At 35.6% G+C, this 26,851-nt stretch overlaps 1 protein-coding gene and 1 long non-coding RNA gene across 12 annotated transcripts in view; both read left to right on the top strand.

Moving 5' to 3' along the window:
• DPH6 (diphthamine biosynthesis 6) overlaps positions 1 to 26,851 on the top strand; it is a 401,189-nt gene that overhangs the window by 103,371 nt on the left and 270,967 nt on the right. The window lies entirely within an intron of this gene.
• Positions 6,545 to 26,040, top strand: LOC124903464 (uncharacterized). Its single transcript, XR_007064580.1, has 2 exons — positions 6,545 to 12,474; positions 12,828 to 26,040. It is a non-coding gene; the product is annotated as an uncharacterized LOC124903464 (long non-coding RNA).

The raw sequence follows: 26,851 nt of genomic DNA, 5'->3' as shown, positions 1-26,851 counted from the left end.
TAATTGGAATCCTACAATATGTGGTCACTGTGACTGGCTTCTTTCACTTAGAATAATGTTTTCAAGAATCATCCAAATTATAGCATATATAATTGAGTTCTTTTTGTTGCCATATAATATTCTGTTACAAAGATACGTTTATTTAGCCATTCATCAGTCCATGGACATTTGAGTCATTTCCATTTTTTCTTTATTATGAATAATGCTCCTATGAACATTTGTGTACAAGTTTTTCTTTGGACCTATATATTCATTTCTCTTGGGTATATACCTAGGAGTGGAATTTCTGTGTCATATGATAATTCTATGTTTAACGTTTTGAGCAACCACCAAACTGATTTCTAAAGTGGCTGTACCACTTTACATTCCCACTAGCAATGAATGAGGGTTCCAGGTTTTCACATCCTAGCCAACAGTTAATTATTTTCTGTCTTTCTTATAGCTATCATGGTGAATGTAAAGTCTTATCTCATTGTGGTTTTATTTTGCATTTCTCTAATGGCTAATGATGTTGACCATCTTCTCATGCATTTATTGGCCCTTTGTATATCTTCTTTAGAGAAATGTCAATTAAAATCCTTTGCCTATATTTTAATTATTTGTCTTTAGTGCATTGTAGGTTTTCTTTAATATATATTCTGAGTATAAGTCTCTTATCAAATGTGTGATTTTAAATATTTTCTCCCATTTTGTGGGTTTTCTCTTTACTTCTGGGTGGTGTCCTTTGAAGCATAAACATTTTTAGTTTTGACGTAGTCCAATTTATCATTTTTTTGTTTTGATTACATGTTCTTTTGATGTTATTTCTAAGAAATCATTGCCTAACTTGATGTCACGAGATTTACTCCTATGTTTTCTTCTAAGAGTTTTATACTTTTAGCTCTTACATTTAGATATGTGATTTCCTGGTTCTGTCCTTCTCCCACTGTGTTTGTATATATATGTATACACACACACATACATATATGAGCTCATCATTTTTTTTATTATACTTTAAGTTCTGGGATACACGTGCAGAACATGCAGGTTTATTAAATAGGTATACATGTACCATGGTGGTTTGCTGCACCCATCAACCCATCATCTACATTAGATATTTCTCCTAATGCTATCCCTCCCCTAACCCCCCACCCGCCAGCAGGGCCTGGTGTGTGATGTTCCCCTCCCTGTATCCAAGTGTTCTCATTGTTCAACTCCCACTTACGAGTGAGAACATGTGGTATTTGATTTTCTGTTGCTGTGTTAGTTTGCTGAGAATGATGGTTTCCAGCTTCATCCATGTCCCTGCAAAGGCGACGAACTCATCCTTTTTTATGGCTGCATAGTACTCCATGCTGTATATGTGCCACATTTTCTTTATCCAGTCTATCTTTGATGGACATTAGGATTGATTCCAAGTCTTTGTTACTGTGAATAGTGCTGCAGTAAACATACATGTGCATGTGTCTTTATAGTAGAATGATTTATAAGCCTTTGGGTATATACCTAGTAATGGGATTGCTGGGTCAAATGGTATTTCTGGTTCTAGATCCTTGAGGAATTGCCACATTGTCTTCCACCATGGTTGAACTAATTTACACTCCCACCAACAGTGTAAAAGCATTCTTATTTCTCCACATCCTCTCCAGCAACTGTTGATTGCTGACTTTTTAAAGATCACCATTCTAACTGGCATGAGATGGTATCTCATTGTGGTTTTGATTTGCATTTCTCTAATGACCAGTGATGATGAGCTTTTTTTCATATATATGTTTGTTGGCTGCATAAATGTCTTCTTTTGAGAAGTGTCTGTTCATATCCTTCACCCACTTTTTGATTGGGTTGTTTGTTTTTTCTTGTAAATTTGTTTAAGTTCCTTGTAGATTCTGGATATTTGTCCTTTGTCAGATGGATAGATTGCAAAAATTTTCTCCCAGTCTGTAGGTTGCCTGTTCACTCTCATGATAGTTTCTTTTGCTGTGCAGAAGCTCTTTAGTTTAATTAGATCCCATTTGTCAATGTTGGCTTTTGTTGCCATTGCTTTTGGTGCATAAGGCACATATTCCTGGTGGCTCCTCCCCATTCTCCCAGTGATCATGCAGACCCCCAGTCTGTTGCAGGCATGCCCAGGCAAGACCCTGTGCGGGTTCCCTTATCTGCCTCCTGCCTCTATCATTCCCCCTTCTAAAGAAGGACATATAACTGCCATTAGGATAAGGATAGGGATAAGGATAAAGACTGATCTTTACTGCATACTGCTGACAGAGGGGGTACTGTTTTGGGAAGACAGAATCAGATCTCCCTCAGAGGCCTATTTAAGGTTCCCCGCTTAAAGGGGGCCATTGTTTGAGGCTCCAGTTGCATGACTGTTTGGAGTTCGATGGCCTGAAGGCAAGAGGAGACAAACCTGGTTATTAGAAAACATGTCAAAACGAAACAAAAAGGGGTGGGTAAGGACAGTTTTTAAATCCCAAGGCTGTTGACATGCCTAGATAACTGGTGACTATAGTCAGGGTTGCTAAGATTTGGGTGCATGGGGCTTGGCTTTGGTTAGCCCTCTTTGTCTTATTTTCCCAAAAAGGAAACCTCCAGGTTATGGGCACCTTATTTACTCCCATCACCTGGCAGGATTTTCAGGATAATTGCTCAGAATTAAAATATTGAACCAGATTTTTACATTACCCATCCCTTTTGTTCCTTCTGAGCTGCAGCCAGAGATTGCTGGTTGGTTCACAGGAATAAGCAGTGTAAGCCTAAAATGTAGGCAAGAACTTAAAAAACAACTAATCAGTCTGGAATTTAATGATAAATATGTAAGTTTTGAAACATAATTTCTCTCCAGTCCTCATTTTTGTTAAAAACAAAGCATAATAGGATTGAGTTGTTTGCAAAATAACTTTAGTCTCATACTTGGCTTGATTATTTGCGTAATGTGGAGCAAAGAATAATTATTTCTACATGGGCTTTTTAAATTGGATTTGATGGAACTCTATTCTACAAGGAATCTCAGATAGGACTTTTTTTTTTTTCCTTTTTTAAAGCCAAGCCCTGCCATGGGTTTGTACACTTTAATGACTATGAGTTGGGTGAACTCCTCTCTTCTTGAGGTCCCAAGAACATGGGCTCCTGGACCTGTTAGCAAGTGACATTCTTTACTCACCACAGGTTAGGAACTTTGTACAGGGACTATGTAGACAGGGTATCTACTATAGACAGTTTTCCCAAGCGGTTTTTATTGGATCTGCAAGTTGAGCTTGATTCCTTAAAAGGAAGCATACCCTTCCAGTCAAAGCCTTGATAAAACAACCAGTTTCTCCGATTGCATCCTGTTGCAAGAGAAAATGGATTCTTATTGCACTGATGCAAATAACCATATTGTCATAAGTTAAGAATGCTGACAGTGTCCAAATACTAGAGAAGCCAGGCAGAGAGAAACAAATATGCTCCAAATTTTGTTCACAGGAGTATACCCCACTCTATTAAAGGCTATAAATAGCTCAAAATAAGTTGCCTTGACTCTGAAAACAAAATAAGTATCAGCAGTGTTTTAAAGAAAAGTTTAAAAAGCTTACTCAGTTTTTCATTAGTTCGGTCCATTCCATTAACTCGTGTTCTGTTTGATATTCATCAACATTTCAGCTATTAATATCAACCCTAATTTTCTAATGAAATCTTAAAGACAATTCTATCCAGTCTTAACCAGTTTGACCGTGAGGTGAGATCGTCATAAACCTTTTATAACTCTTTATAAATTTTGCTAAAAAGCAGATTAGTACCTTAGGAAAACTTTGTTGTGCTTTTATTTCAATGCTCAATTTACAGAAAAACCATATAATACCCTTTTGAATCTAGTCAGTGTTCACACACAGAATTTCTTTTGCAAGATTAATTTTTAGAAACCTTCCACAACTTGTTTAAACCTTTGGCTTTATTTTACCTAATTTAAAATAATCCTATAAACCCAGGTAAAAAATTACATTTTGATGGCATTTGCATTTTACCAGTAATCTCCAAGGCTGTTTCCGTTTCTCAAAGACTAAAGTCACATGAACTAAAAGGGGCACCACACTTTTTATCTTCCCTTTAAAAGATATTTGATCTAGGTGCTTATTTTCCTTTAGGCCAATTAATAAGAGCTCTCTTTTTGTAGACATCACACACAACATATATATAACCACACAGACAAACAGAAGCAGATCCAATAGTTATAGGATATTCTGTTTGCCAATCTCCTAACTGGGCTATTGGCCTCCAAATGGGGCCCTTTAAGAGTAGGGCTAGGAAAGCATGCAGTTTCTAGGACCTAATAAACAGGTAAAGCTGGAAGACAAAAACAAATTTTGAGAAAGATTCATCCGCCTCTAATTCCTGGGGCTCCACGAGGAAAACGGAGGCTTCTCCCAAAATGGAATCCTTGGCACCTTTTCTGTTTTTCCCAAGTAATCACAGGCCATCGCTTGAACCAGGGACATGGAGGTTGCAGTAAGCTGAGATCGCACCACTGCACTCCAGCCTGGACGAAAGAGAGAGACTCCATCTCAAAAAAAGAAAGAAAAGAAATGATCTTAGGGCCTCTCATGTGTGTATTAAGGGTGGCAAGACAAAATGGAGAAAAGAATTTAGTCAACTGAGAAAAAAACTTTTTCCAGAAAAACGAGATACAAGAAGAGAAAAATATAAAGGTCTTTAAATATACCTATGACTTGGGTATCCATTTTTAATTTAGCTCAGCGCTGTTTATGAAAATCCATTTAAATCCCTTATTATCCAACTTTAACCATGCCAAGTGGCCAGTATTTTGGCTTTCAAATTTTACCAAGGTAACCTCCCAGGGACTCAGAGGAAGGAAAATTCAAGGTGATTTGTGGAGGGGAAGAGAATCAACAAATGGTAAAGGTCATGCAAATATCAAACCAGAAAGAACTCATTCCCTAAGCCAGGACTGAACCTAGGCTGCCATTGTAAAATGGCAGAGGCTAGAACAAAGCACTGCCACATGGTTACAGGTCATGCTTCCAAGGACATAAAACAAGATAGAGGCCTGCAGCAAAGTTTGCCACTGACTGGTTTGCTGGCCTGGGTTGAACAACAGGCCTGTGGAGTACTAGGCCTGTATCTCATCCTAAGGTACCCCTCTTTCTGACAGAACCATGCAGAGTGACATGCAGAGCACACCAGTTTGGCTATAGCTTAAGACCAGCCTCACAAATCCTTTTTCATAATTAAAACTTTACAGAAAATATAAACAGTGATCCTTACCATTCCCTTTACCGGTTTGCACCAGGAGAGGGAGGCCAAAAGCCCAACTGGTAAGAAAAAAGTTTACTCTTTTGCCTGCATGTCAGGCTCCGGGGTTCCCTTCCTCCAAGCTCAGTCCCAAGCCAACCAGTTTAAGGTTTGGGAAATTAACTTCTCCCAGTTTGGAGCATACATCCAAGAGGACTGTCCTGTAGGGGGACCCAATTACTCATCTGTGAAGAAAGGACAGAGGAGGAAAAAGGAAAAAGAAGACATTTTTTTCAAAGGAGCCCCAGGACTCAGGGTGCATTCAAAAGAGGTTCACAATGAAGATGAATGGCTACTCATCTAGAAAGAGGGGAGCGAGGCGTTCCTGGTTCCATTTTCTTCCTAGTGAATACCGTGGATATGTGAGGGAGAGAAAGTGAGGCATCCCTCTTTCTTTCGTCTGAGTATCCCTGAGGCCCAGCAACTGTGACAGGGTGCCACCATGGGCGTCAAAGTGGCTTTCACCCATGTAAACATGGGTGCCTAGGGAGTGGGATTATCTGCTGTTACCCACGTACACCCTGTCTCCCCTGCTGTTAGTAGCCTTCGAGCTCCAAAACTTGGAATTGAGTTTGGGACAAAAATGTGTCTCGGGGGTTGCATGGACTCCTTATCATAAGCCAAATGCTAAGGAGAAGCTGTGGAATTGAGTCCTCCAACAAGGGAGAGAAAAGGGTGTCCTGGCCTAGTAAAATGTCCTCTAAAAGGGGGAGAAAAAAAAGCCTCTTGCATAAAACTTAACTCCTGACCTGGTGGAGAAAAGAAAAAAAAAAAAACTTAAAGGCAGGGCTGTCTTAACTGAGACAGGATGGAGAAAAACAAAAAAAACTTAAATGCAAAGCTGTATTCACTGCTGACAGGGTGGAGGAAAGAAAAAGGTGCCTGAGCAAGAAACCTCTTATTCTTATGCAAATGGATTTCTCCAACAGGAGAGAAACTTTTTCTTTTATGAGATGGAGTCTCTTTCTGTCACCCAGGCTGGAGTGCAGTGACGAACAGGGAGAGAACCTTTTTTGTTTTGTTTTGTTTTGTTTTGTTTTGTTTTGTTTTTGTTTGTTTTGTTTGAGACGGAGTCTCACTCTGTCTCCCAGGCTGGAGCGCAGTGGCGCCATCTCGGCTCATTGCAAGCTCCGCCTCCCTGGTTCACGCCATTCTCCTGCCTCAGCCTCCCGAGTAGCTGGGAGTACAGGCGCCCACCACCACGCCCAGCTAATTTTTTGTATTTTTAGTAGAGACGGGGTTTCACCATGTTAGCCAAGATGGTCTTGATCTCCTGACCTCGTGATCCGCCTGCCTTGGCCTCCCAAAGTGCTGGGATTACAGGCATGAGCCACCGCGCCCAGCAGGAAAGAAGCTTTCAATTGCTGTCGGACTGAGCTAGACCCCTCGGCCAGGGAATGAGGGGACTCCATGGAGGTGTCGCGAGGTATGCTGCTCAGCTGGACGTGCAGGGCCTCTGGCCCCTGAGACTGCCCTGGGGCCAGGGCAGCAGCTATGGCCATATGTGCACCTACAGCCATTGGGGTGGAGGTGGATGACTGCTATAGTAAAAGAAAAGATAGGTGCCATTACGGTCCCAAAAAAAAGAAGGAAAATGCCATAGAAAAGGCTGGTTTGGACCAAGGCTGACATTCCCAAACCCCGAGAGCGAAGAAGGGACCACAGTTTCCTCTACCCTCAGAAGAAGTCCAAGGACAAGAAGGCTCAGAAACAAAAGGAAAAGAGATTTTTTGGTCCACATTTTACTCACCCCTCCTCATATGCCCGTATGGACCACCAAAATGATGCAAGATTTTTTGCTCCTTCAGCTAAAAATCTGGGTTCTTGTCTCACAACCAAGAAAAATTAGGCATACAGACACATGGAAGGGTGAGGAGGACAGATTTATTAGGCAAAAAGAATGCTCTCAGAAAAGAAAGAGGGGGTCCTGCCAACATGCACCCACATCACAGATTGAATACCAGGCCACCACACATGAGCTGAAGAGGCCTGACTCCTCCCCCTGCATAAGGCATGAATTCCTGGTGGCTTTACCCCATTCTCCCAGTGCTCATGCAGACCCCCAGTCTGTTGCAGGCATGCCCAGGCAAAACCCTGTGCAGGTTCCCTTTTCTGCCTCCTGCATCTATCAATTACTGCTCAATGTTTGCCTTTTTTGAAGCCATTCGAACAGTTGTCTACATTTGATTGTCCAAAACTCAGTAATTGTCACGTGTAGGCTATGGTGTGTTTACACCTCTACTTGTTGTATTTCACGATGTACAGAGATACCTTTAGGTCAAACTTAAAATATGTAAGGAGGCAGCTTTAGACTAAACTTGATTTAATGTTATGCAGCACCCAGGTGTATTTTTGTGGAAGGGTCGTGTAGATAATCGACCATTCTACTGGGGAAGGAAGTTTTTTACTTTATTTCTAACAATACAGTATTACTTAACTCACCAAAACTCATTAGTGACCAGGCATAGTGGCTCACACCTGTAATTCCAGTTCTTTGGGAGGCTCAGGTGGGCAAATGGCTTGAGCTTAGGAATTCAAGATCAGCTTGGGCAACATGGTGAAACCCTGTCTGTACAAAAAAAAAAAAAAATAGCTGGGCATGGTGGCATATACCTGTAGTCCCAGCTATCTGGGAGGCTGCAGTTGGAGGATCACTTGAGCCTGGGAGCCGGAGGTTGCAGTGAGCTGAGGTCATGCCACTGCACTCCAGCCTGGGCGACAAGAGTGAGACTCTGTCTCAAAAAGAAAACAAAACAAACAAACAAAAAAAGCCTTAGTAGTAATTTATGTTTCTTAATTATATATTTTTTCATCTTTATTGCTTTGAATTTTGTTTTGATGTTAATGATAGGACCACTGCAACCTTTCTTTACATTTGCCTGATACATTGTTGCCTGTTCTTTCATTTTCACTTTTCTATGTGTGTGTGCGTGCATATACTTTTAGATGCATTTTATAATTGGCGTAACATTGGATTTTATTATTGACCCAATCTTTGTCTTAAAAAGTTTAACTGTTTTTACTGATATAATCAATTAATTATTTCTTAATTTTTCTACTTATTTTATTCATTTTATGTCATCAATTTTTTGTTTTACTGCTTTTCCCTTTATTTTCTACCTTTTGCTATATGGAATATTTTAGTGCCCTCTGTTGTTTTGGCAGTAATGCATTCTATTAATAATTAGCTTTAATCTTTTCAAAGGTGTTCTTTAAATTATGATTTTTAAAATATCAACATCAAAGTTGTAATAGTCCCTTTTTATCACTTCCTAATCAATATAAGGAATTGAAGAGACTAGGCCTATAAGTGGACCAGAGACCTAGTCGTATTAGGTATCCTTACCTCCCAGAGATAGAAACGACTGACCTTTGACTCAAACTGGCCTGCTGTATTTTTTTCAGAAATGTATCTGCTGTTTTGAGTCTGATTTGTACTAGTTTATAAGCTGATAGTAGAGATGGATATAAACATTTTCACGGCAAGATGCTTTGGTACCCTGACAGTTGATTTATATATTGTAGAGGGCAGCCTTGTACAGTACATTTGGGAATGTCACAACCACATAAAGATATCTCTACCTCCCTTCTCTTTTCTCTTCCACAGACACATATATTAAGGGCCCAAATCAAGTTCTTAGAACAATGGTTTTCAACTGTGGCTGCACATCATTGTAGCCTGTTGAGCTTTTAAACATCCCAGTGACCAAACTGCACTCCAGACTAATTAAATTAGAATATCTGGGGATGGGACCCAGATACATGCAGTTTTTTAGAGCTTCAATATTAATTGATTTTAATATGAATCCAAGGAAGAGAACTACTGATCTAGTGCAGAAGTCATTAAACTAGGGTGAAATCTGATTCACTGCCTATATATGGAAATAGAGTTTTATAGGAACACAACATGTATATTTATTATTGTCTATGGCTGTTTTCATGCTACAATGGAAGAATTTAGTAATTGTGAAAGAACCAATTTTGCCTACAAAACCTAAAATATTTACCTTTTATGGAACATACTTGCCAACCCCAGTGTAGAGAGACTCAACGGGATTTTTACTATAACTCTGCAGTTTCATTATTAGCCAGATGTCTTCAAGGGAATTTTAAGGCCTGGAGTCTTGGCTTTCTGCTAAGAGAATGCCACTACTTCTCCTGCTTTGAAAAGCTATCTTCATAAAGTTAAGTTTTTGTTTATTCTAACAAACGAAAGCAAGTTTGTATCCTTGCCTATACTTGTTGGTGTGTATATCAATTGCTATCATCCTTTAATTTTTCCAATCCATTTTTCTACCTTTTCTGATTTGTGAAGTTTGAACCCATATTATTACTGACTTTACAGTTAAATACTATTAGTTATATATATTGCTTCTCTTTAAACAATGAATTTGACATTTGTATTTAATACTTTGATTTGCAAAACTTCTTTGACACAATTATATATGTGACTGGGTTTTGGCATTTACCACTATGTCACAACTTCCCTATTCTTTTTTTTCAACTTTTATTTTAGGTTTAGTGGGTACATGTGCAGGTTTGTTACATGGGTAAATTTCATGTCACTTGGGTTTGGTGTTTAAATGATTTAGTCATTAGTCATTTACGCCCAGATAGTGAGCTCAGTACCTGACAGTTTTTTGACCCTCACCGTCCTCCTAACCTCCACCCTCAAGTAGGCCTCAGTTTCTATTGTTCCCCTCTTTGTGTCCATGTGTACTCAATATGACTTTCCTATTGAACCCTTTATTTTCTTCTTAATTCATTCAGGTGGAATATGTCTTCAGTACCTTTCTCAAGAATTGTATATATTTTCATTTCTTCCTCTCAGCCCCAATTATCTTTCTTTTGTGTTAACATAAGAAAGCTAACACATTGATGGATAATTTGAGTTTTCCCCTTTTGTAAGTAATTTGCCTGAAAACTTCTTTGTTTGTCTTATGTGTGTATTTTTTTGTTGTTGATAATTCTGTTTTCTATGAATATACCTGTTTCTGCCCTCCCTGGGATGTAGGAAATGCTTTCAGTTTGATATTTCTGTCATCCCAACTGCCATAATAAAGCTCTTCTTTCTTTTTCTGGTTGTGCTCATTGGGTTAATTTCTGGTAGGAACTGTGCATGGCTAAGAACTCTATTACAGATGTGAATCTAAAAAACGTATCCAGGAGGATAGTGAATGATGACAGAAAACCCACTGCAGCAAACACTACCAAAGAGGAAGACTAGCACCTCTTTCAGGAGTGTAAAGCAATAATGTACTCTTCCATGAAATAGTTCACATTTTTACCCATTTTAAACATCATATAGATTTTTTTCTTCTTTTATATTCCTCTAATTTCATATACCTCTACGCTTTATGTTTATCTGGAAGACTCTTATCCATATTTTCTTCATCCACCTTTATAGCATTACATCAGTGGTTCTCTACCATGGCTGCACATTAGAATCTCCTGAGGAGCCTTTGAATACATATTTATTATATGCAGCCCCAATCCCACATAGTTGGACTTGGTTATTCTGGGATGAGTCATAGTAAGTATTGATTGGTATTTGTCAAAAGTTTGCCAAGTGAAATTAGCTGGGTGTTGTGGCCGGCGCCTGTAGTCCCCGCTACTCCAGAGGCTGAGGCAGGAGAATGGTGTGAACCTGGGATGCGGAGCTTGCAGTGAGCCGAGATTGCGCCACTGCACTCCAGCCTGGGCGACAGAGCGAGACTCCATCTCCAAAAAAAAAAACTTTGCCAAGTGATTGGTTCTAAGGGGAGCCAAGATTTAGGACTACTCTCTGCTTTTTATGATAATTAACTGTCATTTCTCCTTAGACTTTTCAATTTATGTCTAACATCAACATGCTTGTCCCCATTATATTTCTTTCTTATGGATTCCTTTCTTATGGATTTTTTTCTCTAATTCTTGTAACAAAATTGTTGTTCCAGGAAAGTATACCTAGTTAATTTGGGTCTTTATAGCCTCTGGCACCCTGCTGTTTATGTGCCTTAGCTTAAGGAGCACTTCTTTATTTGATTATGGCTTAACTTGATTTTCAGGAAAGAGTACTGGACTCAAAGTCAAAATCTGTACATTTTTTTTCCTGATTTAATCACTCGTTAACCTTGCAACCTGGAGAATTCACTTCACCCCAGAGCCTCCATTTTCATAACCTCCCTTTTATCAGTAAAACCATTGTTTTACTACTTATCCTAAAGATTTACTACTAAAATGGGGCCATAGGTACAAAAGTTTCTTGAACAGTTTAACATATTACACACATTATTACTGCTAGATAGGTATAGGGGTAATTATGAATGACTTTTGACGTATGTGAACAAGTGAATTCATTGGTTAAGCTTTTTTCATATCCTTCGTTTGCCGCTTTTTCTGTTTGACAAAGAAGAATCTTGGGTGTTATATAACTGTGCTGCAACATAAATTCAGTTACCTCTCTTTCTTTTCTCCACCTTTAAAAATTATTGAGAGTTTTTCACACAACAGATGGAATATAGGCAAGAAAAATAAAGTCTATGGTTTTCAATGGAACTGGAAGTAGGAGGTTTTGTTTTTGTTTTTGTTTTTGACAGGCTCATAAAAGCCACTGTCTAAACTGGGTAAATCTTGGGTCTTTTGGCTTCCTATACTGTACTTGTAATTTCACATTTTTATTTGCATTGTCACATTAAAGATATTTCAGATAAGATACAGCTATGGGTTTTAGGAAACTGGAGCAGTGTCACAATTTCTAAATAATAATTTTTTTAACTGACCTTAAAACATTTAACTTGAAAATTACAGGAAATGCATTTATAGTTGACATTGATGATGACTTACACTAATTTTTCTGGAAAGAAATGTTTGTATTAAGCAGTTGAAAACATAATTATAATGGTTATTGCACAAAGCCCAGCTTTATAGGGTCTTAAAGAACAAATACCACAAATAGTTTTAGATCATGATTAGATTAAAAATCACTGGTTTTATTTCATTTTTTTTTTTTGGCTACAGGATAAAGAAAAGATCTTATCAGAATAAATTTCTCACCTGCCTTGGGCAGGAGTCATTAGATGTAAGCAAATTTAATGGAGCCTGTGTGCTCTGGGGCCATTCAGCTGTGCTTCAATAATTGCATTTTTTTTTTTTTTCAGTATGAAGGTTGTTTAACATATCAAGTGGCAAAAAAAAAGTTAAAGTACAAGTTGCCTATTTATCTTTCAGGTAAATAACCATAGGTACTTTATAAACTGAGTAGCAATGAATGCATTAACAAATAATAAACTCCAGTCAGGAAAAGAAAATGCTGCTGATAGTGTGCAATTATTATTTCTGTGTCCCTCCTTCATTAGCATTCACATGACTTCAAACTGCTTCTGTCCTTTTTCCCCTTCATTCAATTTACTTTCACTGGAAAACTTTAAGGTTCACTTAACATATATTTGAACAGGTCAATATCATTTTTGATGATTTCTTTTTAAATTCAGCCTTTACAAACAAATTAGCAAGGTTAACTTACTGCAAGATCCAGATCCACATTAACAAATGAATTTTTTTCTTGTTCTTTTCCCCCACAGACTGGATTTCGGTCTTCTATCCACAATCTTCTAGGATCCAGCTTCTGTTCAATCAGTGTTTTGATTTTGCAACTCTAACTCGTAAATATTACACACCAAAGTAACAGCTAAGATAAAACAGCGTTAACAAAATATTATTCATATTAGGAACAGATTTTTTCATTACAGATATCCTTTCAATATTGAATTCTGTTTGATATTTAAAATGTAATTTAATTCCCTTATATAGTTTTTCAGAGACACATCTCTTTAGGAAAGATACCATATTCTGTATATCTATAAAAATGTGTGTATGTAAGGGTGGTAAGATAAAACAAATGACTTAATAATTAACCCATAATTACTTAAACAAATGGACCTAATATGAAGTTGATAGTAGGTCAGTATCAACATGGGAAAAGGACCCTACTGACGTATTATATCATTATTTCTTTATTCAACACTTTTCACTCTTTTAAACAGCTATTTGAATGAGCACTTGAAGGGCATGCTGATGAAATTTGCAAGTGACACAGTTGTTATTGAAATAGCTAATACTTTGAATAATAGAATCAGAATTCAGATTCATATTAAATGATTGGAATTAGGGACTAAAAATGACGAGGTAAAACAAAATAGAGGTAAATATAAACAGTTCTGAATTTCAGTCCCTAAAACCAACATTGTAAAATCAAATGGGAGAGATATTGCTAAACAATAGCACTGAAGAGAAAAGTCATAGAGGTTTTATGACAGTATGCTTAATATGTGTCTGTGGTACATTGTGGCTGCCAAAGCAGCTAAGGAGATCTAAGGGGTTCTATTAACAGAGTTAATGTGGAACATTGTGTTTTGTTATAGGTACCTTTATTTAAGAAGGTTGTGGCTGTAGTAATTTAAGGAAAAGGCAGTATTCTGTAAACAATTGGATCTCAATTCTGTGCAAAAGTCATTCATAGAAAAAATCCTGAAAACTAAAATGATAATGTATTAGCAACATATCTTCAGAAATTTTATAATATGAAAAACTTAAATTTTCTTTTTTATGTTTTTCTATATTTCCTACAATTAACAGAAATTGCTTTTTGTAAAAGGGAAAGATTGCATAAAAGTGGGACACAGAAACAAATGTAATTCGGTGAGTAGAGAGTGACCAGAACAATGAAAGGACAAGCAAGTGGTACCATATGAGGGCTATTTAAAGGAGCTATATATTTAGCCTGAAGTAAAGGCAGCAGGTTACTGGGCCAACGAGAATGAGGATTTTTATAGCAATTCACAATGTTTGAAAGTCCACTGGTACTTTCTTTGGCTTCAGAGGACAATTCAAAGAGCAAGTGGAAGTTATACAGTGAAACAGGTCTTAGCGTGTGTGGCATAGAAACTTTCTAACATTTGGAGCTCCCAAATTGTGACCCAGGAGATTGCCCCAGGCCCATGGGTAGATTTCTTCAAGATTCTACTGCATGTCCCTTGTTTTTTTCCTGTATAATACTGCTTCTTTGACAGAAGAGTTAATTGGAGTGTGTAGAACTGTTTTAGCTGTAGACTAAGTTTGCTTTTTGGAGAGAAATTCCATTCTTCCTTGATGGCTTCTGGCTCCACCCTTAAAGGATGAAGATTTGCCTCCATTAGATAATTTCAAAACAATATGCAACTGGCTCTGAAGACAGTTTTATAGAAAAATTTTTAGAAGTAGTTTGATCCAGGGCATCAAACTATTGGATAAGCTATATACTATTGGATAAGCATATAGTATTCAAAGGTGACAACTTCAAAGGAGACAGCCCTCATTTAAATACATAAAAAAACTGTCTTATTACTTTATCACTTGTTAGTTTTCATTAAAATTTGATGCTTACACAGACACAGTGATGAGAAAATTAAACTCGTGTGGCTTTCCGATTCTATTTGATACATAAAAATCTTGCTGCATGCTTATTATGCCATTGCCTCCTGGTCTACTTTCCTTCTTGGTTTGGGAGCTCATCTTCCCTTCCATATTCTTAGGCTGCCTCTTGTCTGCAGTGAAATTCCTTTTTTGTGTATTTTTTCTTTTTTTTAATTTGAAGGTGATCTATGCTTCTGGAAGAGGTAACCCCATTGTAGGGAAGAAAAGAAAGAGAAATTGTCCCTGAAACTTTGTTTTCATTACTTAGCAAGTTTTACAGTTAATGACAGAAGTTTCTCCTGTGGCCTTTCCTTCCAAAGACTGTGCTTATTTATTTTCCCCAATACTCTCATGTGACCTTGTTTAAAGCTTCATGTAATTCCCAAATAAATTACATTTACTGGTTTACTTCTATCTAGTATTTTATTGACATTTCCAGATAAGTTTAATAGGATGGAGAGAAACAGTGTTCTCTTTATAGACTCAGTGGGCAATTTGACCTTAGCAGGTTAACCTTATCCTGATGTTGAAGGAAGCTATTCTTAATTAGACTCTATCAGTTTCTCCATTATCACCAAGAGAGCCTCTGGTCTGTAATTCCATAAAATCTTAATTCGATTATTTTTCTTTCTGAAAGAAAAGCTTCATATTAGCAAAATCGCAATATTTGGAAATACTTGCTTGTTTTCCAAATACATTGCATATCCTCATCTGTAGCTCAGCCATTTCACACTTTATTTCCTTCAGAAACTCTCAGTTGAATACCATCTGGCCATGGTGATTTATTGCTGTGGAATTTCTCAAGTTGCTCTATTATTTCCTCCTAGGAGATTGCTCTCTACTACTACCCCACTGTTTTTCTCAGAAAGTGCCCTTGGAATAGTCGTTTCCTCACTCTCCTGTACAGCAGAGGTCAATGCAAAATAAAACTAAACTAAACTTCTCTGCTTCTTACATCCTCTAAACCTCACATCCTCTTTACTTGCTGTCCTCATTACCAGAGGAGAAACTCAGCCGTTAGTCCTACCACTCATGGTGTCTATTTAGTCCTTGTGTTTCCTTTTGTCTTTTTTTTTATCTTTTTTTTTTTTTAGATTCTTTCTTCCCCTGACAGTACATTTTTGGTATTTAATTCAGGGGGAAAAATGTCATGTTATAAGATGTTTTAGATATTTTCAACGTGTTCATAAATGTCTCTATGGAATTGTTTCAAGGTTGTTTTTTTTTTTTTAAACCATCCACAAATTTCTCTTTTGACCTTTCAGATAATGTCACAGTATATATATCTCTCATGGCCAGTGTCCTTATATGTCTTCCTAGAAACCTGGATGGTTCTTTAAACTTTTTACTTTTCTCTCAGAGGGCTGCTAACCAGATTTTTTCTTCAGATTTTTAACATATACTTTTTGAAGTCTCACCTTTTGGGTTAACATTAAGAGATGCCCATACCAATTAGAACATGAGCTTGAATTGTGCAGCCTTCCCAATTTCTGAGTTCTACTCCTACACATACTAACCTGTGGTAATTCCTATATTTTACATTAATCTTATTCCTCTTTCATACCTGCCCCAATAAGCCAAGATAAGGTATGTTAATTAATGCTTCTACACATCGTGTTCTTCTGTCATTTATTTGGCTAATAATGGACATAATTAAAATCATTCATTGCAATAACCTTCTTAGAAAAGAATGCTGAACAGTAAAGGTTAAAAGCAATTTGTATTATTCTTTTATATTCTATAGTTAACATTTTTACACCTGAACTTTGTTCAAATAATTATTTTGTTTAAAAAAGGTTACTTAATGTGCTTTCAAGTAGAGTTAATTGTGATTTGAATATATTTCTACCTTTATGCAAAGTACCTTAGCAGAGAATTTTTGAATTTTATAACTGAAGTATTGAAACATCGAAAGTTGAAACTTTCAAAACTCCCAACATGTGTTGTAAATTATCTACCATTTTCAACTTAAGAAAAAAAAAGAGTTAAATACAAATTTCGAGTACTGTATGTGTGATACAGTCTTTCCTTAAGTTTCAAATACAAATACCAGTAGTCACACAGCCACCTGAAGAGAGTCTCTATTTGCTCAGTTTATAAAGGGGAGTAACAGATTATAACAGCAGGGGAAGGAAATGCTGGTTTTGCTTATTTTATTGCTAGCATATCATTTTCTTCACTGGGTAAGGCAGGCTGTCCTAAAAGTAACTTAGGCATATAACTTTTTGGTGCTGGTTATATGGATAGGATATATATGGATATATGAGATATATATATATATATATATGTCATGTCATATATATATATATGATATACATGGAAAGGATGTCTTTCTTGAATTTTGGAATAGATTGAGTCTATCCATCCCAAAGCTACTTTGTACACACACCCATACACACACACACCCATACACACACACACATACACACACACTTCCATATATATCTTATATATGGATATGTATGTACATTAGATATGTATATAGGTATGTTTTATACATATATATTACCTGCCAAGAAATATGCACTATATCGTAATTCTAAAATTTGTCTTTCTACCTGTATCTCAACCAATGGCTCCAATTTCTTCTGATCTTTAAAAAATATGTTAATTGTAATATTTACAAATAAATAGGAAAAGATTCTATTTTAATGAATGCTAGTATGAAAGTTAACCCTCTGTAGTAAAACATATGGCTCTGTCAGGCAACTTACACTATAATAGCTTTCATGATAATATGTAACAGTTAATTAAAAACTCCTTCTGAAAAGGTAAACCAGCAAGTGTTTTTCTGTTTCTCTATGTAGTAGTCAGATTATTTAATGGCTGTACTGTCCAGGAGGATATTTGTACCTTAATACAAATACCATTTCTTACTTGGCATGATTGGAAAGTGAGACATACTATCTTAGCTGAGAGCCCAACATTTATGTATTAAAACTTCTTGGAGCAAGGGTATGTTATAACATTTGCAGGGCTTGTCCTCCAGTGAATTGTCTTATAGAAAATACTACTTGTATTGGTTGCTGTCTCAACTATATGTGAGTACATTTGCAGAAATGTACGTAGGTCACATTCAGTTTAATTTTACATGAGAACCAGATAAGGAATTCTATCTCACAACACAGGGTCTGAAGGAGGCTGTAATCAGGGTTCTCCAAAGTTTCCTGTACTTTCTTTTCTAGCAAGTTATTCTTGTACTGGAGAAGTCAAAGGACAGCTTTTTCTATTAATTTGATTCCATCTTCACTCAAGCAGGATTAAGTTCAAGTCCTAGGTATATTCATAGTATTCTTTCCCAGTTTTTCAGTCCTGATATATTCTTCTCCTTTATTCAGTAATCTTTTCAGTGGTGTTTTCAATTGGGAAGAGAAGAAAAGGAAAGAATTAGATGCCAGTGCTTATATAACCATCTTGCCCAGAAGTATTATTGAAGGATTTTGAAATAGAAAATTATCAGATTACAGTACAAGGCAAGGATGCCCACTCTTGCCACTTATATTAAACATTGTACTAGAAATCCTAGCCAGAGAAATTAAGCAAGAAAAAGAAATAAAAGACATTCAAATTAGAAAGAAGAAAGCAAAATTATTTCTACTTACAGATAATATCATACATATTGAAAAGACTTGACAAAAAAAAAAATCCTGTTAGAACTAATACATAAATTCAGTAAAGTTGCAGAATATAAAATCAGCATACAACAATCAGTAGCATTTCTATATGCAAATAACAAACTATCTGAAAAGGAAATCAAGAAAACAGTCACATTCACAATAGCGACAAGAAGAATAAAATAATTAGGAATAATCTTAACCAAGAAGTGAAAGTCTTGCACACTGAAAATTGTAAAATATTGCTGAAGGAAATTTAAAAAGTCAAACATTAATGGAAATACAGCCATATTCTTGGATTGAAATAATTAATATGTTAAAATGTTCATATTACCCCAAGTGATCTACAGATTCAATGTAATCCTTATCAAATTCTCAATGGCATTCTTTATAAAAATAGAAAAAAAAATCCCAAAATTCATATGGAACCACAAAAGACCACAAGTAGCCAAATTAATCTTTAGGAAGAAGAACAAAGGAATCAGTTTCTGATTTCTAAACATATTATAAAGCTAGGGTAATGAAAACAGAATGGCACTGGCATAAAAACAAGTATAGAGACCAATGGAATAGAATAGAGAGCCTAGAAATAAATGTACACATCTATGGTCAACTGATCTTCCACAGGGGTGCCAAAACATACAATGGGAATGGATAGTCTTTTCAATAAATGGTGCCAGGAAAATTATCCATATCTACATGTGGAAGAAGTGGACCCTTATCTCACACCATATACAACTCAAAATAGATTTAAAACCCTTATCTCACACCATATTCAACTCAAAATGGATTTAAAACTTTAATGCAAGACCCAAAAATGTAAAACTCCTTGAAGAAAACAAAGGAAAAAATCTTGTCATTGGACTGGACAATGATTTTTTTTTATATGACACCAAAAACACAGGCAAGAAAAGCTAAAATAGACATATAGGATTGCATCAAACTAAAAAGCTTCTGCACAGCAAAGGAAAGAGCAGAGTGAAAAGGCAACCTGGGGAGTGAAAAACAATATTTACAAATCCTATATATGTTAAGGAGTTAACATTTAAAATATATAAGGAACTCATGCAACTTCATAGCAAAAAGACAAATAACTTTGTTTTAAAAAGGGCAAAGGACTTGAATGGACATTTCTCCAAATGAGACATACAAATGACAAACAGGTATAAGAAAAAGTACTAAATTTCACTAATCATCAGGGAAATGCCAATCAAAACCACAATGAGGTATCACGTCACACCTGTTAGAATGAGTATCAGAAAAGTGAAAGATAAGTGTTGGAGAAAAGGGAACCCTTGTATACTGTTGGTGGGAATGTAAATTGGTACAGCCATTATGGAAAACAGTATGGAGATTCCTCAAAATTTTTAAAATGTAACTACTGTATGATCCGGCAATCACACTTCTGAGTATATACCCAAAGGAAATTAAATCAATATCTCCAAGAGATATCTGCACTCACATGTTTATTTTAGCATTATTCACAATCACTAAGATATGAAAACAGCCTAAGTGTATATCAATAGATGAATGTCTAAAGAAAATGTGGTATATTTATACAATGAAGTATTATTCAACCTTTAAAAAGGAAATCTAACCATTTTCAACAACACGGATGAACCTGGAGGACCTTATACTATGTAAAATAAACCAGATACAGAAAGACAAATACTGCATCGTATCACTTATATGTGTGATCTAAAAATGTCAAACTTAAGAAATAAAGAATAGAATGGTAGTTACCAGAGGATGGAGAGGAGGATTTGGGAAGATGTTGATTAAGGGGTACAGAGTTAGTTATGCAAGATAAACAAGTTCTGGAGATCTAATGTACAACAGTGTGTCTATAGTTAACAACACTGTGTTGTATACTTGAAATTTGCTAAGAGGATAGATCTTAAGTGTTCTCACAACACACACACAAATGGTAACTGTGTGAGGAGATGGGTATGTTAATTTGCTTGATTGTGGTGAATATTTTACAGTGTTTGCATATATAAAGTCATCAAGTTATACACCTTAAATATGTACAATTTTTAATTCTCAACTATATCTCAATAAAGCTAATGGGGAAAGAAAATGACCAGACCAGATTTGCATTTTGAACATTTCATTATTACTATGAGTTCATTAGAATCTGGTATTCCTCAAGGTTTTTTCCTGTATCTTCTCTTCTCATTTCATCTATTCTTCTTGAGATTTCACTTCATGGCTTCTGTTTCTATATACCAAAATCTAATTAGATAACTCTTCTCTGATGATTCATGGGAAACTTAAATACATGTCAATTTTAACACAATTAATATTGAATTCACCCTTTATTGTCCTTCCCAAACCTTCATCTATTTGGTTTATATATATATATATTTGAAGGAATAACACTTGGTGCCACCATCTTTTAATTTGCTCAAAGCCAAAAACCTGAGACTCATTATTCCCTTTTCTGTCTCCTGTATTCCCCACATCCAATTCACCGGTATTATATATCTTACCTACCATATGCTGCTCTAAAATCTGTTCTCTTCTATACTAATGCTTTGTCTATTACATCCTCTCTCATCTAGTCTATTGCAGCACCTTGTTTATTTGCCTTCTTACCTTCAGTCTTATTTTCTACCAAGGAACTTGACTGAAGCTGGAATGATCTTTTCAGAAGTCAAATTGGATCATATCATTGTTTTGTTTGAATTTCTCAGTGTTCTTTGTGACCTTACTTTCAAGCATAAACTCCTTAAAATGAAACAGAAGGCTATATAGGACCTGGCTTTTGTCTACATTTTTAGCTTCAACTCTTCCACCTTCAGACACTCTCTACTCGAGCTTCTTTCAGTTTCCAGTACTCATCATCTTGAAAACTGATAAGAAAGATTAGGAAAATGTTTCAGGAATAAATATTTCAAATCCCTTCTTTTAAAAAAATTCTCTGTGTTCCACACATCTTTCACTTATTATTTGTTCTGTACACCCCAAAAACTTTACAGTAATTTTTAATGTACAAAAAAGGGGTATTTGAGCTATCACCAGCAGTTATTATCATTAACTGCATAACTATACTTAATATTTTTTATTGATCATTTATTTCATGTATGCCATTGATCTTAAAAGTGAATCTATAAAATATCTAAGTCTACTTTGTGTTACACAGAAGTAAAATATCAGCTCATAGATTTTAGAATATTTCTGGCCTTGTAAAATTAGTTTAGAAGTATTCCCTCTTCTTCAATGTTAGTTTTCTTGAAAGAGTTTGAGAAACATTGCTATTAGCTCTTTAAATTTTTGGTAGAATTCAGCCATGAAGTTATCTGATCCTGGGCATTTGTTTGATGGGAGACTTTTAATGACTGATTCAATCTCAATAGTTATTCTTGGTCTGTTCAGATTTCCAGCTTCTTTGTGATTCAGTCTTGGTAGGTTATAGGTTTCTAGGAATGTATCCATTTTGTCTAGATTGCCCAATTTGTTGTTAAATACAGTTTAACTGTATTTAACTGTTGTTAATAATACAGTTGTTTATAAGTAGTGTCTTATGATCCTTTGTATTTCCGTGTTACCGGTTATAATGTCTCCCCTTCCATTTCTGATTTTATTTATTTGAGTCCTGCCCCTGTTTTTCTTAGTCTAGCTAAGGGTTTGTCCCTTTTATTTAGCTTTTCAAAACAGCTCAGTTTTAGGCCAGGCACAGTGGCTCACGCTGTAATCCCAGCACTTTGGGAGGCTGAGGCTGGCAGATCACAAGGTTAGGAGTTCGCGACCAGCCTGGCCAATACGGTGAAACCCCGTCTCTATTAAAAAATACAAAAATTAGCCAGGCATGGTGACACATGCCTGTAGTCCTGGCTACTCAGGATGCTGAGGCAGGAGAATGCTTGATCCCAGGAGGCGGAGGTTGCAGTGGGCTGAGGTCGTGCCACTGCACTCCAGCCCGGGCAACAGAGCGAGACTGTCTAAAAAATAAAATAATTAAAATAAAATAAAATAAAACTCTGTTTTATTGATTTTTGCATTGTTTTGCCAGGCTCAATTTTATTTATTTATGCCCTAATCTTTGTTATGTCCTTTATTCTGCTATCTTTGGGCTTGTCTTCTTTTTCTAATCCTTTGAGCTATAATGTTAGGTTGTTTATTTGAGATCCTTCTTCCTTTTTGATGTAGGCATTTATTGCTACAAACTTCCCTCTTAGAACTGCTTTTGCTGCATCCCATAAATTTTGGGATATTGTGTTCGCATTTTTTTTGTCTCAAGATGTTTTTTAATTTCTCCTTTAATTTCTTCTTTGACCCAGTAAGATAGGGTCATATGCTCCTTCAGGAGCATATTGTTTAATTTTCACACACTTCTCAATTTTCCATGATTCTTCCTTTTATTGATACCTAGTTTCATAGCATTGTGGTTGAAAAAGATACTTGACATGATTTTAACCTTAAATGTGTTAAGACTTTTTTGTGGCCAAACATATGATCTCTCCTGGAGAATGTTTCATGTGCACTTGAGAAGAATTTCTCTTCTGTTGCTGTCGAAAGGAATGTTCTGTAAATATCTATTAGGTTCCTTTGGCCTAAAGTAGTTCAAGCCCAATGTTTCCTTATTGATTTTCTGTCTGGAAGTTTTATCCAATGTTGATAGTGGGGTATTGAATTTCCTGCTATTATTGTGTTGCAGTCTATGCCTCTTCAGACTTGTTTGCTTTATGTATTTATGTGCTGCAATGTTGGGTGCATATATATTTACCATTGTTTTATCCTCTTGATGAATTGGATTCTTAATCACTATATTATAACCTTTATTGTCCTTTTTACAGTTTTCGACCTAAAACCTATTCTGTCTAAGGTTAGTATAGCTATCTTTGCTCTTTTTGTTTCTATTTGCATGGAATATCTTTTTTATTATTATTATTCCTTTAGTCTATAAGGGTGTTTTAAGGTGAACTGAGTCTCTTGTAGGCAGCATATAGTTTGGTGCTCACTTTTTCATCCATTCTGCCTCTCTATATTTTTGATTGGAGAATTTAAAACATTTACATTCAAAGCAAAGAAGTCACGTGTTGAGATAACTCATAACACAACCTCTAAGAGCTGTAAGCATTTAAGTCTAACTGTAGAAATGGAAAATCTGAAAACTTGAAATAAGGTCCTTCCTGAGATAGTCACTTTCATATATGTAAGCTCATTTTTTTAGAGATTATATGACCAGTCTTCTTATCTGTTCTTTTAAATAAAAATTCTGTCATTTTATTTCTAAAAATAATTATAGAATAATGGTGTGTTCAGTGGGAGTCTGGGAACAAATAAAAATCATATTTACCCACAAAACAATTCGAGTTTTAAAAATGGTATCTACTTGTTCTGTTAGCCAGTAAGCCTGGTAGAGATAGGAAGAGATTTCAAGAGTGTGTGTGTGTGTGTGTGTGTGTGTGTATGTGTGTGTGTTTTAGTTTGAAAGGTACATGAGGTATTCAGTTCTTGTATCCAGTGGATTTATCAAGAATTATAGACAGACTAGAAATTGCTTCTCAGAGTGATTATACCTTTTCTAATATCACCTACTGATTTTACAGTAAAACTCTAGGCTACAAAGGTTGAGATGAGAACACAATTCACTTTACTTGACTCTTAAAAATAGCATTGTTAACCATTTTGTGATGTCTCTCTCTTCATGTATTGGGCTGTACTGAAGAGATAAACCTCCACTTGCTTTCATGACATAGATAATAAATTGATATAATTCAGCTGAGAAGTTGAAAAATGCATTGAAAATAATGGAGCATAACATTGTAGGGTTAACATTTATTCATAGATGATGCAATTAAATAAAACAGGCATTAACTTCAAGGTCAGTAAGTAAAGTAATAAAATTGAATATTTTAATTGAATTGTAATTGCTTCCCATTGATACATGCAAGTAAAGTAAAATAGATGTCAGCTCTGCAAATTATGGTTCTTCCTCCTAATTAATTTCTTAATTCTGCATGGAGTTATCAGTGCCTAGGTCTTGTGAGTTTATTCATCCACCCAGCTTCCATCAAGGAATGTCTGTATGACATGATGAAATGGCTAGGTGTCAGAGTTTACAGTAAATTTTTTCTGCACTTTGGCAAAAATATTGTTAGTAACTCAAAGTAATATATTCATGTATTAGAGTTAAAATGTACTTTAACATCATCATGGATCCTATGGATTATAATCTTCATTAATATTGATATTTCTTGATATTGATATTTATGTCAACATTAACTAATGTAATTGTCTCAGTGATTATAAAGGTTTTTGTAGGGAGATATATACATAAAGACTCACATTCCATAATTAACTGGCTCAAGCGGTAAATTGTACTGACCGCTGGGATTTTGGTGAAGCACAGTTTGTGTCTGTTCACGACCCAAGCTTTACTAGAAAAGAGACACCTAAATTGAATAAATTTAAAAAAGAAAAATCTTTTCCAAGGACTGAGGTAAATCGAAGCTTTTAGATAAAGTTGAATTGCATTGAAAAAGCCCATGAGCTGTTGTGGCTTTTTCAGAGGCTTTTAATAGCTCCTCCAAAGGTTTTAATGTAATGCAGTTTTATGTAAAATAAAATGAGAATGATGATATTACAAAGATTAAGAGAGATTTTTAAAGCATACTGAAATTGTATTGGGTCTAGATACTAGGGTTTATTTAAAGAAAAAGAAAATTGTGCCTTTTGGACCAGCTGCATTTACCAGTTAAATGGCTACTGCTTAGAAATTGAAAATGGAATGGATATGTAAGATGGATTTTAAATTTACTGAGATATTATTATATATTCATATACTTTAAAATGATTTTATAGGATAGAATTATTTCAGTGCAAATATATTGGTATATTAGCATCATTCTTCAGTTGTGCTTAGAAACGTAAGTGGGTTCTTCTTGTTGGTAAAGTAAATAGAGATGTTGTGATGTCTAGCTTTTGTGTTAAAATTTAACTCAGACATTGACTTTTTTTAAAATGTTTCTCTCTGAACCATTTAAAACAAAAATCTAAAGTAAGTCTATTGAGAAATATATTTTATTGATGCTAATATGACCCTGACCTTCCATTCTCAATTAAGAAGGATCATTCAGAAATCTTTGTGTGTTATCATCTAGTTAGAAAATACTAAAACCAAAATACATAAAATAAAAAACTAAAATCTTAGAGCTTCATAATTATAGATAAGCTAACAATTTTTCACACTAAAAAGATCTGTTTTTTCAGATCTTTGTTTTAAAAGTATTTTAATAATTACCTTATTCCATTTAGGGAAATGAAAGTAAATATTATAAGCGCTGTACATACAATGCTTAGATGTTAGTAAATGAGGAAACTTGTGGAATATGTGGAAGTGCAAGAAAATTAAGTATTCAATCTTTATACTTATAAAAACAATTACTATGAGTTTTGTTTTCATGTATTAATAGTTTGATATTTATGGAATCATTGGTATGCTAAGCATTAAAGAATTTCTTGAGGAAACTTCTATATCTGAATATATTCTGGAGTAGGATGAATAATCTTCCTACAACATCCCTAACATCCCTAATATCACCCGGTGCATAATAGTTTCAGATGATTTAGAAGAGATCTCAAAGATCAGGGTGGCTTCAGGCCGTTGCTTTTGCAAGGACGGTAGCTGGAATTGCTAGGAATCTCTGGATTTTATCCAAGAAAATATATTCTATGAACAGTCTGCAGTACATGGCATATGGACAGTGATCATGAGGTCCCCAATGACTTGTCACTTTCTAATGAACAGAAAAATTGAAGCAAAGGCAGACTGTGCTCAGATAAAGTATTCAGATATTCAGATAAAGTAACCAGCAAGGCATCAGGAGATAAAGACATATGTAGTTATTATAATCAAGTACAGTGGAACATGTTAGCCTGATAGAAGTAAATATTATATGCTGTGTTGAATTAAAGTATAAAAATCCATTCAGAAGAGTCTGCAGGCTATTATATTGAATTTAAACAAGTAGTTTCATTACTAAAACCTGGACATTTTATGGAAAAGAATTATAGTCTGTTTAAATAGTATCACCTCATGATATAGGAACACCTAAATCATTGTTCATGCCAAAAAAACCTACCTAAATCACCTGACGTAACCTCTGAAAAATATGTTTTAAAATTGTTTATTTCTTACATTCTGCTAGTTCCTTGGTTTTAGATGTCCTTTGAAACCATCTTTCATGTATGTGAAATGTTGATTCTATTGTTCTGCCCTGTGTGAAATGTCTAAAACAAGCTTATTCAACCTGCGACCCAGGACGGCTTTGAATGCGGCCCAACGCAAATTTGTAAACTCTCTAACACTATGAGATTTTTTTGATTTTTTTCCAGCTAATCAGCTATCGTTAGTGTGAGTATATTTCATATGTGGCCCAAGACAATTCTTCTTCCAGTGTGGCCCAGGGGAGCCAAAAGATTGGATACCCATGGTCTAAAACATCAGGCCCATGAATCATAGCAGCATATACACCCTCACTAAACTTTACACAGACCCCATTACCAAACCTATAGGTACACATGAAGTTTAT

The sequence above is a fragment of the Homo sapiens genome, chromosome 15, assembly GCF_000001405.40.
Source record: "Homo sapiens chromosome 15, GRCh38.p14 Primary Assembly".
NCBI lineage: Eukaryota > Metazoa > Chordata > Mammalia > Primates > Hominidae > Homo > Homo sapiens.
The sequence above is the reverse complement of the archived record's forward strand: the minus strand, read 5'-3'. Positions and strand labels throughout refer to the sequence as shown.